The following is a 14,126-nucleotide window of genomic DNA, read 5'->3' as shown; positions in this document are numbered from 1 at the left end:
GCACATGCCATTGTGCCGGGCTAATTATTTTTTGCAGAAATGGGGTCTTACCATCTTGCCCATGCTGGTCTCAAACTCCTGCACTCAAGCAATCCTCCCACTTCGGCCTCACAAAGTGTTAGGATTACAGGCGTGAGCCACTGTGCCTGGCCCACCTTTGTCTTCTCCAGTTTTAACAAAGGATTTTATAGTTACACCCTCACTTTAATCTTTAAACCATATTTTCCTGAGTGTTCTGAATTTAATCTTTGCTCTGAAGTCACTTCTAAATGTTAGTGTAATCATTTGCCACCTGGAGAAGCTGTGCATCTTCTAAACCAGTGAGCCCTGGTTTCTTTTTTAACAGTTCTTTCTTTAGCTTATTTCATTCCTGTCTTATTTTATTAAAGAGGCAAGAAGAAACCAATGGCATTTTCACTCTAGTTGGAAACAGATTTAGCTAGATCACTCATTCATTAGCTAGCTGTATTTTCCACTTTCCACACAACTGTGGGTGACAGCGTTGCTGAACTTACTGCCTCTCACCAGGACTTCCCTTTCTCCAGCTCCCGGGAATACTCCCGGGTTCAAGTAATTCTCATGCCTCAGCCTCCGAAGTAGCTAGGACTACAGGAACCTGCCATCACACCCAGCTAATTTTTGTATTTTTAGTAGAGATTGGGTTTTGCCATGTTGGCCAGAGTGGTCTCGAACTCCTGGCCTCGGGTGATCTGTCTGCCTTGGCCTTCTGAAGTGCTGAGATTATAGGCATGAGCCACCATGCCTAAACAAAAAAAATATTTTTTAGAGATAGGGGTGTTGCTATGTTGCCCAGTGTGTCCTCAAATTCCTGGACCAAGCAATCCTCCTGCGTTAGCCTCCTGAGTAGCTGGGACTACAGATGTGGACCACCATGGCCGCTTCCAACTTTGAAACTTTTATCCACAGTTTCAAAGCACTGTGGGCTTTCAGCAGCACTCTCCTCAAAGCCCACTGCCTGATTCCAAAGCCACTCCTGCATTGGAGGGTTTTGTTATGGCAGCACCTTGCTAACAGATACACAAATCTGTTATATATTGCTCCATTACAAATGAACTCAAAACTTAGCTGCCTCACAAATTACCTCACAAATCCTCAGAGCTCAGAATCTGGGAGCATCCTAGCCCAGTGGTTCCGGCTTGCGGCTTGCGTGCAGTTGTACTCAAGCTGTTGGCCAGAGTGGCCGGCTCTGAAGACTTGGCTGGGACCTGAGGGCTACCTCTAAGCTTTCTCTCGTTGCTGTGGGCAGGAAGCTTCAGTTCCTTGCTGTGTGGGCCTCTCCATGGGGCCACTAACAGGACTTCTTCCCCTAGAGCGAGGGACCCAAGAGAGACCACCAGGACAGCCATGGTCTATTATAACCTAATCTCAGAAGTGATGTACTACCACTTTTTTTTTTTTTTTTGAGACTCAAGTGATCCTCCCACCTTAGCCTCCCTAGTAGCTGGGACTACAGGCATGTGCCACCATGCCTGGCTAATTTTTGTATTCTATAATTTTTGTATTTTGTATTCTTTGTAGAGACACGGTTTCACCATGTTGCCCAGGCTGGTCTTGAACTCCTAGGCTCAAGCAATCTGCCCATCTTGCCCTCCCAAAGTGCTGGGGTTACAGGCATAAGCACCACGCTTGGCCTCATTTTTTTTGGTGTGAGATATTCTAGAACCAACCTGCCCTCCCACCCCTAATTTAAGGTTGAGACAACTTACTGTTTATTTTCAAAGAAGTATTAAGTATCTAACATACAGTAGGTACTTCTGGGGGCAAAAAAGACAGTCCCTGCCTTTGAGGAATTGCCTATTGAGAAAACAAGACATAGCTATAATACAGTGTGATGAATTCTACAGAAGGGTATAAAGGGAATGCCCAGGAGAGCCAGATGAGCAGACCTTTTTTTTTTTTTTTTTTTTTTTTTTGAGATGAGTCTCGCTCTGTCGCCAGGCTGGAGTGCAGTGGCGTGATCTAGGCTCAATGCAATCTCTGCCTCCTGGGTTTAAGCGATTCTCCTGCCTCAGCATCCCGAGTAGCTGGGATTACAGGCGCACGCTGCCACTCCAAGCTAATTTTTGTATTTTCTTTTTTTTTCTGAGACAGAGTCTTGCTCTGTCGCCCAGGCTGGAGTGCAGTGGCGCGATCTCGGCTCACTGCAAGCTCCGCCTCCCGGGTTCACGCCATTCTCCTGCCTCAGCCTCATGAGTAGCTGGGACTACAGGTGCCCGCCACCATGCCCAGCTAATTTTTTGTATTTTTAGTAGAGACGGGGTTTCACTGTGTTAGCCAGGATGGTCTCAATTTCCTGACCTCGTGATCTGCCCGCCTTGGCCTCCCAAAAGTGCTGGGATTACAGGCGTGAGCCACTGCGCCCAGCCAATTTTTGTATTTTTAGTAGAGATGGGGTTTCACCATGTTGGTCAGGGTGGTCTTGAACTCTTTTTTTTTTTCTTTTTTTTGAGACACAGTCTCACTCTGTCGCCATCTGGAGTGCAGTGGCATGATCTAAGCTCACTGAAACCTCTGCTGGCCGAGTTCAAGCGATTCTCCTGCCTCAGTCTCCCAAGTAGTTGGGAATTACAGGCACCTGCTACTCAACCTGGCTAATTTTTGTATTTTTAGTAGAGATGGGATTTCACCATCTTGGCCAGGCTGGTGTTGAACTCCTGACCTCATGGCCCACCCGCCTTGGCCTCCCAAAGTGCTGGGATAATGGGCGTGAGCCACTGTGCCCTGCCTGGTCTCAATCTCTTCACCTCAAGATCTGCCCGCCTCGGCCTCTCAAAGTGCTGGGATTACAGGCGTGAGCCACCACACCCGGCCTGAGCAGACTTTTAAAACAGAGCATGAGAAAAAAAAGGAGTGAGTAGAACAAAGTTAAAAGCCTTTTATACCACATTTGGTGTCTGAACTTGGTGTTACAGTGCATGACTTTATCATTATAGGCTTATAAGCAAGAGAGGGAAATGATGAGATAGATACAGTTTTAAAAATTCACCTATATTTTAATGCTTTCATAGTTTTATTTTTTAAAATACTGATTCATTTGGAACTTTGTAACATTTAATACAAGGCAAAATTATATAAATCGCAAACATCAGTTAAGTAAACTGTAATGCACACCCAACAGAAAGAACTTTAAAGCCTCCAAGAGCTTTGAAGCTTCTTCCAAGTTTTTAATTTCACAGAAATACAGCAGAATAAACATTCCTGCGTATAAGACTTTGAAGAATTTGAATCATGAAATATTGTGTGGTAAGATGGATTGAAGAGGCAGAAAGGAAAGTTCTAAGGGTTTGTTTTCTAACACTGAGAAATCATGTCAGCTGGGAAAAAATACCAATTAATTACTGAGTACCTTACTGCATACATTTCAACCTCATTCTCATTTGGTACACTGTAAAATGGCACAGTCCACAGATTATTATATATAGAAAGCAATCCTTTTCTAATCCTATTCCCATGGATATCAATGTTCAAAGTTTACTGCCATGAGCTCAATCAAGGTATAGTGTGATTTGAAAGTGAAGCCTTTATTGTGCCAGAAGGTCATAGCATAACTGACTTCATGCAAACAGGGAGCTCTCCCTTCTTTCCTAGTTGGTCTGCTCCTTCTCCTCCAGGATGAGTACAGTGTCCACAGTTATTCCTATGTCCTCCAGCGACTGGCCTCCCTCCACTGCCAGAGGCCGTCTGGGAAAGGAAGTAGAAAGGCTGTATAGAGATATGTGGTACCCAATTCTCGTCATCCAGTCAAATAAGACCTAGAAGATGAAAAGCTTGGCTTAGTCATTATCAAATACTTTACACACCATGTCCCTTTAGACCACCATAACATTTTATAATTTTGTCAATGTAAAATCATATCCCTAGGAGTAATGAGACAGAAGTTTCATACCTTTCAAAGAAACTTTCTAGAACTTAAAGGAAAATAGCTTGCCATGAGTTCAGAGATAGGAATATTCTTTTTTTTTTTTTTTGAGATGGGAGTCTCGCTCTGTCACCCAGGCTGGAGTGCGATGGCATGATCTCGGCTCACTGAAACCTCCACCACCTGGGTTTAAGCGATTCTCCTGCCTCAGCCTTCAGAGTAGCTTGGATTATACAGGCGCCCACTACCATGCCCAGCTAATTTTTGTATTTTTAGTAGAGACGGGGTTCCACCATGTTGGCCAGGCTGGTCTTGAACTTCTGACCTCAAGTGATCTGCCTGCCTGGGCCTCCCGAAGTGCTGGGATTATGGCCGTGAGCCACTGCGCCCAGCCAAAAATTAGCCAGGCGTGGTGGCGGGCACCTGTAATCCCAGGCCCTCAGGAGGCTGAGGAGGGAGAATGATTTGAACCCAGGAGGCGGAGGTTGCAGTGAGCCGAGATCCCACCACCGCACTCCAGCCTGGGTGACAGAGCAAGACTCGGTCTCAAAACTATATATATACACACACACATATATATATATATAAAATTTTTTTTCCCGAAACATATAATGGCACAGAAATTTGAGACCAGCCTGGGTAAGATGGCGAAACCCAGTCTCTACAAAAAATACAAAAATTAGCCAGGCCTGGTGGTGCATGCCTGTAATCCCAGATACTCAGGAGGTGAGGTGCAAGGATCACCTGAGTCCGGGGAGGTTGAGGTTTCAGTGAGCTGTGATTGCACCACTGTGCTTCAGCCTTGGTGACAGAGTGAGAACCAATCTTACAAAAATAAATAAAAATAATGGTAAATTATCTGTCAGGAACACTGATCTTATTTACATTCACATTAACAAGTTATGATGGCCAGGCACAGTGGCTCACACCTGTAATCCCAGCACTTTGGAAGGATGAGGCAGGAGAATCATTTGAACCCAGGAGTTCAAGATTGGCCTGGTCAGCATAGTGAGACCTGTTCTATTTTTAAAAAAATAAAAAATATTAAAGGTTTTGTTTTGTTTTGTTTTTTGTGATGGAGTCTTGCTGTCTCCCAGACTGGAGTGCAGTGGCACGATCTTGGCTCACTGCAACCTCTGCCTCCTGGGTTCAAGCGATTCTCCTGCCTCAGCCTCCTGAGTAGCTGGGACTACAGGCACGCACCACCACGTCCGGCTAATTTTTGTATTTTTAGTAGAGACAAGGTTTCACCATGTTGGCCAGGATGGTCTTGATCTCTTGACCTCATGATCCGCTTGCCTCAGCCTCCCAAAGTGCTGGGATTACAGGCGTGAGCCATGGTACCCGGCCAAAAAACTATTAAAGTTTTAAGAATCCCTGTTTTCCCAACGCATTTGCCAAATCTGGGTACTATTTCTTTTTAATCTTTGACAGTCTAGTTAAGTAGAAAATACTGTTTCATTTTATTTGTACTTCATTGATTCTATGTGAGGCCAAACATTTTTTTCATATATTTATCTATCACTGAGTCTTCTTCGGGAAATCATGATATTCATGTGTTTCTTTCCCTGCCAGTCTACTGAGATGTTTATCTCTTCCTTGATTTAAGTTCCTTATAAAAAATAACTATCATACATAAATAGTAAAATGGGCTGGTCGTGGTGGGTCACGCCTGTAATCCCAACACTTGGGTAGGCCAAGGTGGGTGGATCACTTGAGCCCAGGAGTTTGAGACCAGCCTGGCCAACATGGCAAAACCCCATTTCTACTAAAAATAAAAAATTAGCCAGGAACGGTGGTGTGTGCCTGGTCCCAGCTACTCACAGGCATGAGCCACCGCACCTGGCCGGAATTTTTATGTAGTCAAATCCAGTATTTTCCATTACGGTTTATAGCATTCTTGTCATTGAAGGTTAAATACAACAAACAGGACAGAAAATTATTTACATATATTTTTAATGCACACATAATTATATGTTTAAATGTACTTAGAGACGGAAATATACCAAAATGTTAGTAACTGGTTTTGGCATGAGACTACAGATCAAATTTTTTTCTCGCTCTACTTTTCCATGTTTTCCAAATTATCACTAACAACCACAGTATTGTTTTTATTATTTAGTATTTTTGAGACAGGATCTTGCTCTGTCACCCAGGCTGGAGTGCAGTGGCATGATCTCGGCTCATTGCAACCTCTGCCTCCCAGGTTCAAGTGATTCTCCCACCTCAGCCTCCCGAGTAGGTGGGATTACAGGCATCCGCCACCATGCCCGGCTAATTTTCTTATTTTTAGTAGAGATGGGGTTTAACCATGTTGGCCAGGCTGGCCTCGAACTCCTGACCTCAAGTGATCTGCCCGCCTTGGCCTCCCAAAGTGTTGGGATTACAGACATGAGCCACTGCACCCAGCCCACAGTATTGTTTTTAAAAGAAAAAAAAAAGTCTAAAGTTAATAGTGGCTACTTCCTAAGGATTTAAAAGCATCTTGCCCATCAAATTATGATAATGTAATGAAAGCAAACAACAAAGGAAAAATACACCAAAGGGAAAGAATGAGTAAAATGTGAATGCAGAGATCACAATTCAGAGACATCCGGCAGGCATGCCTAGTTAGCCAAATTTCTGCAACGTGGAGTACCTGGAAATGTCCTTTATCCATACCTGATGGGAGATGCAGATGACAGTGTGATCACACCTTCCCCCACGGCATGTGAATAAACTACTGCCATATTCAACAAAGATATTTCTCAAAATGTGAATTCCTTCACTTACCTGTGAGCTGTAGGACTTCAAAAACCTTCTCCTCAGGACATTCCCACTGGGACATCGGAGAGCAACAGTAACTACCTAAGGAAGAAATATTCACATAAGAACTCCGATCCATTGCTCTTTGCAATTCCTTTCATTCCATAAAACAGCTAAGCAGCTAAAAAGGACTTAGATACTGCTTTGCTAATTATTAAAAGACATAGGTAGGGCATGGTGGTGGCTCACGCCTGTAATCCCAGGACTTTGGGAGGCTGAGACAGGCAGACCACTTGAGGCCAGGAGTTTGAGACACCCCCCGCCATAAAAAATAGAAAAATTAGCTAGATGTGGGTGCACGCCTCTAGTCCCAGCTACTTGGGAGGTTGAAGTGGGAGAATAGCCTGAGCCCAGGGAATCTGAGGCAACAGTAAGCTGTGATCACGCCACTGCACCCAGCCTGGATGACACAGCAAGACTCTGTTTAAAAAAAAAAAAGACATTATAAAATGAGAAGATAACACATTAGTGTTTATTTTTCACCTGTCAAGAAACCCTTTATGACTAACATGATCATTAACTGTGCTGGGAGTTATGTGGGTATCATATTAGGCATAAGTGGTGGTTTTAGAGCAGCACCCCTCCCTCTCAGGAAAGCTATGTTAGAAAATATTTCCAATCAGGCCAGGTGCGGTGGCTCAGGCCTGTAATCCCAGCACTTTGGGGGGCCAAGGTGGGCGGATCACTTGAGGTCAGGAGTTCGTGACCAGCCTGGCCAACACGGTGAAACCCCATCTCTACTAAAAATACAAATATTAGCCAGGCATTGTGGCGTACACCTGTGGTCTTAGCTACTCAGGAGGCTGAGGCAGGAGAATGGCTTGAACCCGGAAGCAGAGGTTTCAGAGAGCCGAGATTGTGCCATTGCACTCCAGCTTGAGCAATGCGGTGAGACTCAGTCTCAAAAACAAAAACAAAAACAAAAACAAAAAACTTTCCCATCAGGCACAGTGACTCACACCTATAATCCCACCACTTGGGGAGGCCAAGGTGAGAGGATCACTTGAGACCAGGAGTCGGACCAGCCTGAGCAAAACACTGAGACCCAATCTTTACCAAAAAAAATTTTTTTTTAATTTAAAAATTAGTCAGGGCTGGTGGCACATGCCTGCAGTCCTAGTTACTTGGGACGCTAAGGTAGGAGGATCACTTGAGCCTGAGAGGTTGAAGATGCAGTCAGCTATGATCGTGCCAAGACACTCCAGCCTATGAGACAGAGCAAAAGCCTGTCTCTTTAAAAAAAAAAAAAAAAAGGTTTCCAAGGAGTATAACTGTTGCCGAGCCCCAAGAAGTAGGTTCTCCTTCTGGATTTATTGCCCAAATGACTTAATGGCTTTCAAGACACGTATGTGCTCCCCATACATTAGGAAGTGTCTATAAGTTGGGTGGCCAGTGACAGGAAGGCATCACGGACTATGACCCAGCAACTGGGAAGAAGACAGCTTGACACAGTTGGGGATCAGTCCCAGCCCAGCCCCCAACAGCAAACCACCCCTAAATTAAAACATCTACAAAGTAGTCGCCCTCTTCATTTTCTCCTTTGAAAAGGAGAACTGCAATTTGAAGTCATTTGCCTAGTTTTTTTTCCTTTTTTTTTTCCTTTTTGTAGCGACAGCGTCTCACTATGTTGCCCAGGCTGGTCTTGAATTCCTAAGCTGAAGTAATCCTCCCCTCTTGGCCTCCCAAAGTGCTCGGACATATGCCTATTTTGATTCTGTTTTAGTAAGCAACGCATTTTCTGACCTAAAGTTCTGGAAAAGCCCACGTGTCCTATGCCTGAGGCAGTGGGTGGGTGTAATCCCAGCGCTTTGGGAGGTCAAGACAGGCAGATCACTTGAGGTCAGGAGTTCCAGGCCAGCCTGGCCAACATGGTAAAACCCCGTCTCTACTAAAAATACAAAAACTAGCCCGATGTGGTGGCAGATGCCTGTAATCCCAGCTACTTGGGAGGCTGAGGCAGGAGAATCACTTGAACTCAGGAGGCGGACGCTGCAGTGAGCTGAGATCATGCCATTGCACTCTAGCCTGGGTGACAAGAGCAAGACTTCATCTCAAAAAAAAAAAAAGACAACTCAGCAGACAGCAGGCTTGCAAAATAGTACTCATGTTGAGGAATTTGATACTACACTACATTCCAAGTAAGACCCAGCTACCCAGGAGGCTGAGGCGGGTGGATCACTTGAGCCCAGGAGTTCAAGGCCAGCCTAGGCAACATAGTGAGACCCTGTCTCTATGTTCTAAAAAAGACCTAGTTACAGTATAATCACATGAACACTTATGCTATCACTTCTTTCTAAACCCAAGTTTAGATAAGACATATTTAATGGATGTTAAGCAAAGAAAATAGAAAATAAGTTTAATTTTCGAAGAGAAAAATAGACTTACTTCTTCTGCTGTTTGAGAAGGTTCTTCAGGTAAATCAGGAATCTAAAGAAAAGTATTGGTAAGAGGAATGTAAACATGTTCAACAAGCAAAAGTGTCAATGAGAAGAGTTCCTCTCAATACAGAGTTTAGACACACATCTAAGCTTACTTATATCTTTTCTTCATACATCTATAAAGAGTTTATAATGAAAATAGTTCAATTAATAAACATTTTTGGGCAAGTGTGCTAAAAATTAATCATAAAAATAGGATTTGAGATAATAGCTCCCAATCTATACATACTTAAAGGATTTTGCTTCTATTATGTTCCAAAATATTACTAATATATAAAAATGCACTATGTAAAAAAGCAAGCCAGATGCAGTGGCTCATGTCCGTAATCCCAGCAACTCAGGAGGCTGAGGCAGGAAGATCACTTGAGCTCAGAAGTTCAAGGCCAACCATTGCAACAAAGCAAGACCCTGTCACTTTAAAAAAAAAAAAAAATATATATATATATATATATATATGATTGTGTATGCATATACACATACATACATATAAAAACAGGATAAATGTTAACATGTATCAGCTGGGCGCAGTGGCTCATGCCTGTAATCCCGACACACTGGGAGGCCGAGGCAGGTGGATCACTTGAGGTCAAGAGTTCATGATCAGCGTGGCTCACATGGTGAAACCCCGTCTCTACAAAAATACAAAAATTATCAGGCATGATGGCGGGTGCCCATAATCCCAGCTACTCGGGAGGCTGAGGCAGGAAAATCGCTTGGAACCCATGAAGCAGAGGTTGCAGTGAGCTGAGGTTGTGCCACTGCATTCTGGCCTGGGTGACAGAGCAAGCCTCCATCTTAAAAAAAAAAAAAAAGAAAAGAAAATTCAGTAAGACCCCAAAATTATTTTGCTTCAAACATATACATATTTTATTTTATTTTATTTTATTTTATTTTATTTTATTTTATTTATTTATTTTTCTGAGACGGAGTCTCACTCTGTCGCCCAGGCTGGAGTGCAGTGGCGCGATCTTGGCTCACTGCAAGCTCTGCCTCCTGGGTTCAGGCCATTCTCCTGTCTCAGCCTCCCAAGTAGCTAGGACTACAGGCGCCTGCCACCATGCCCCGCTAATTTTTTGTATTTTTTAGTAGAGATAGGGTTTCCCCGTGTTAGCCAAGATGGTCTCGACTTCCTGACCTTGTGATCCGCCTGCCTCAGCCTCCCAAAGTCCTGGGATTACAGGCGTGAGCCACCACACCCGGCCCATATACACATTTTAACATGAATATGAACTTTTTGTCACTCACACTCCTAGGTGACTGCCAGAAACCATTCACTTTGGTTGCTTTTGTCATTTACTCATGTTTCCCTATTTCCATTAATCTATTAAGAATCCAGATATTGGGCTGGGTGTGGTGTCTCACGCCTGTAATCCCAGAACTTTCGGGGGCTGAGGCAGGCAGATCACCTGAGGTCAGGAGTTTGAGACCAGCCTGGCCAACATGGTGATACCCCATCTCTACTAAAAATACAAAAATGAGCTAGGCGTGGTGGCGCACACCTGTAATCCTGCTACTCAGGAGGTTGAGGCATGAGAATCTCTTGAACCCAGGAGGCAGAGATTGCAGTGAGCCATGACTGTGCCACTGCACTCCAGCCTGGGTGACAGAGTGAGGCTCTGTCTCAAAAAAATAAAAATAAAATAATCCAGATATTTAGACCATTTTCTTTCATTAAGACATTTGTGGCCGGGCGTGGTGGCTCACGCCTGTAATCCCAGCACTTTGGGAGGCCGAGGAGGGCAGATCATGAGGTCAGGAGATCGAGACCATCCTGGCCAACACGATGGAACCCTGTCTCTACTAAAAATACAAAAAATTAGCCGGGCGTGGTGGCGGGCACCTGTAGTCCCAGCTACCCGGGAGGCTGAGGCAGGAGAATGGCGTGAAGCCGGGAGGAGGAGCTTGCAGTGAGCCGAGATCACGCCACTGCACTCCAGCCTGGGTGACAAAGCGAGACTCCGTCTCAAAAAAAAAAAAAAAAACAAAAAAAACAAACAAAAAAAACATTTGTTACCAATGACTTCATCTCCAGGAACTCTTTATTAATACCATAGAGTATATTTTATAACATTTAATCTAACCTTACCTGCATTTGCTAAATAACTCATTTGTTTTCCTTTGGTATCAAAAGCATATGTGACTGTCAAGTAAAATCTGCCATCAGCATAAGACAGTGTCATTAACAAAACACAAACATGAATTTTTAATCAGTCCGTTTAGTTCATATCGATCTTTTTCAAAGGTCAGTGATAGTTCAATAATCTGATTCCCCTGCTCAATCTCCACTATGGGACCAGGAAATCTCAGATTGAGAAGCAATATCTTAGAAACTATTTTCAGGGAATAGACAGCCTCCCAGCTTTCCCTAAGGGCCAGTAAAAACAGATTTCTTATTTCTAATCTTTTCCAGCTCCAATTGGAATTAACTTAGTTAAGGATTGAAGATTTGAATGAACAACATGTATAATAAACCTGGGCACTAATCCAAAGTGACTGATTGCTAATCTATTCCCTAGAAGGGCCAGTAAGGAAAATTATACACTCATGTTAATAACAGCTATTAGCCACTCACAAGATAGGGCTTGATAATGTTCTTAAGTTAATAGGAATGCTTCCCTTCGTAAGCATTATATTTTTCATTTTTACATAATCAAATTCCTTAAAAAGAATTGAGTATTTTCGGCTGGGCGCAGTGGCTCACGCCTGTAATCCCAGCACTTTGGGAGGCCAAGGCGGGCGGATCACGTGGTCAGGAGATTGAGACCATCCTGGCTAACATGGTGAAACCCCGTCTCTACTAAAAATACAAAAAAATTAGCTGGGTGGGGTGGTGGGCGCCTGTAGTCCCAGCTACTCGGGAGGCTGAGGCAGGAGAATGGTGAGAATGGTGTGAACCCAGGAGGCAGAGCCTGCAGTGAGCTGAGATTTCACCACTGTATTCCAGTCTGGGCGACAGAGTGAGACTCTGTCTCAAAAAAACAAAGAAAAAATATCAATTCTTTTTTTTTTTTTTTTTTGAGACGGAGTCTCACTCTGTCGCGCAGGCTGGAGTGCAGTGGCGCAATCTAGGCTCACTGCAACCTCCACCCCGCTGGGTTCAAGAGATTCTCCTGCTTCAGCCTCCTGAGTAGCTGGGATTACAGGCGCCTGCCACTGCACCTGGCTAATTTTTGTATTTTTAGTAGAGATGGGGTTTTACCATCTTAGCCAGGCTGGTCTTGAACTCGTGACCTCGTGATCCACCCACCTCGGCCTCCCAAACTACTGGGATTACAGGCATGAGCCACCATGCCCAGCCCTTTTTGTTTTTTGTTTTTTGTTTTTGAGATGGAGTTTCACTACTGTTGTCCAGGCTGGAGTGCAATGGTGCAATCTTGGCTCACTGCAACCTCCACCTCCCAGGTTCAAGCGATTCTCCTGTCTCAGCCTCCTCAGTAGCTGGGATTACAGGTGCCTGCCACCACGCCCAGCTAATTTTTTTGTATTTTTAGTAGAGATGGGGTTTCACCATGTTGGCCAGGCTGGTCTTGAACTCCTGACCTCAGGTGATCTGCCTGCCTTCATGTCCCAAAGTGCTGGGATTACAGGCATGAGCCACAGTGCCTGGCTAAGAATTGAGTATTTTCTAAACCTATTATCATTTGTCTTTATTGCTTCCAAGTTGGATTCAGAACATCATTAATATTGAACAGGGAAAATTATTCTTTTTTTTTTTTTTTAAATAGAGATGGGGTTTCACCATGTTGGCCAGGCTGGTCTCAAACTCCTGGCCTCAACCTCCATCGGCCTCGGCCTCCCAAAGTGTTGGGATTACAGATGTCAGCCACCATGCCCGGCCTATTCTGGGGTGATTGCTTTGTAAGGCAGTGGGAAGACACCATCTGGATGAAAGGCCAGTCCTGATCTTCACCCAGTATACCACCTCACCCAGAGTTCAATACTCCTACTGCACACAGACACAATTCAATGAGAGGCATGAAGTACTTTACCTCCTTGCATGTGGGCTGTTCAGCAGGAGACGGAAATTCAGTTAAAGGTTTAGGCAAGTTCTGGCTCTTTGCTGCTTCTCTGTTTGATGTTTCAAAAGATGTCTGACTTGTACCTTCATCACCCTGGTCAAACACAACAGACAATTTCTAAAGAGATGTTTTCTATCAACTTTATTCTATTCACAATTGTTTTTCCTTTTTCCTTTTTTTACCCTGATGGCATATCAGTAGAAAAATATTAGCAAGCCATTATGAGACCCAAAAAATTAAAGCATTATCTCCGTGGACAGGAAAACACGAGGCTTGAGCCGGGTGCTATGGCTCACACCTGTAATCCCAGCACTTTGGGAGACTGAGGAGGGCAGATCACCTGAAGTCAGGAGTTCAAGACCAGCCTGGCTAACACAGTGAAACCCAATCTCTACTAAAAAAATGCAAAAATTGGCCGGGTATGGTGGCTCACGCTTGTAATCACAGCATTTTGGAACGCCGAGGTGGGCAGATCACAGGAGGTCAGGAGTTAGAGACCAGCCTGGCCAACATGGTGAAATCCCATCTCTACTAAAAAGACATACAAAAATTAGCTGGGCGCGGTGGCAGTTACCTGTAATCCCAGCTACGTGGGAGACTGAGGCAGGAAAATCACTTGAGCCTAGGAGGCGGAGGTTGCAGTAAGCTGAGATCGCACCACTGCACTCCAGCCTGGGCGATGGAGAGAGACTCTGTCTCAAAAACAAAAATTAGCTGAGGCAGAAGAATTGCTTGAACCTGAGAGGCAGAGGTTGCATTGAGCTGAGATGGTGCCATTGCACTCCAACTTGGGCGACAGAGTGAGACTCAGCCTCAAAAAAAAAAAAAAGAAAATTTAAAATTGTAAACTTCTATAGAAACTGACAAAATTCATATTCAATGCTGAAGGAAAACATAACCAAAGTTTAATTTGACTTAAAAATCAGAATATATAATATATAATAACATATATAACCTGAGCTTAATACCTTGGAGATCTTGACT

General features: G+C 44.1%; 1 protein-coding gene across 4 annotated transcripts in view; it reads right to left on the bottom strand.

Moving 5' to 3' along the window:
• Positions 2,994–14,126, bottom strand: part of UBXN8 (UBX domain protein 8) — a 37,872-nt gene continuing 26,739 nt past the window's right edge. For all 4 annotated transcript variants that reach the window (XM_011544655.3, NM_005671.4, NM_001282199.2 and 1 more), the window contains 4 exons: positions 13,113–13,235; positions 9,071–9,112; positions 6,653–6,727; positions 2,994–3,773 (listed from right to left, as the gene is read on the bottom strand). In XM_011544655.3, coding sequence (XP_011542957.1) covers positions 3,606–3,773; positions 6,653–6,727; positions 9,071–9,112; positions 13,113–13,235 — 408 coding nt within the window. In that variant the 3' untranslated portion in view covers positions 2,994–3,605. The remainder of the gene's footprint in view (positions 3,774–6,652; positions 6,728–9,070; positions 9,113–13,112; positions 13,236–14,126) is intronic.

The sequence above is a fragment of the Homo sapiens genome, chromosome 8 (assembly GCF_000001405.40).
Source record: "Homo sapiens chromosome 8, GRCh38.p14 Primary Assembly".
Lineage (NCBI taxonomy): Eukaryota > Metazoa > Chordata > Mammalia > Primates > Hominidae > Homo > Homo sapiens.
Note: the sequence above shows the minus strand (reverse complement) of the source record. Positions and strands in the feature narration are given on the sequence as shown.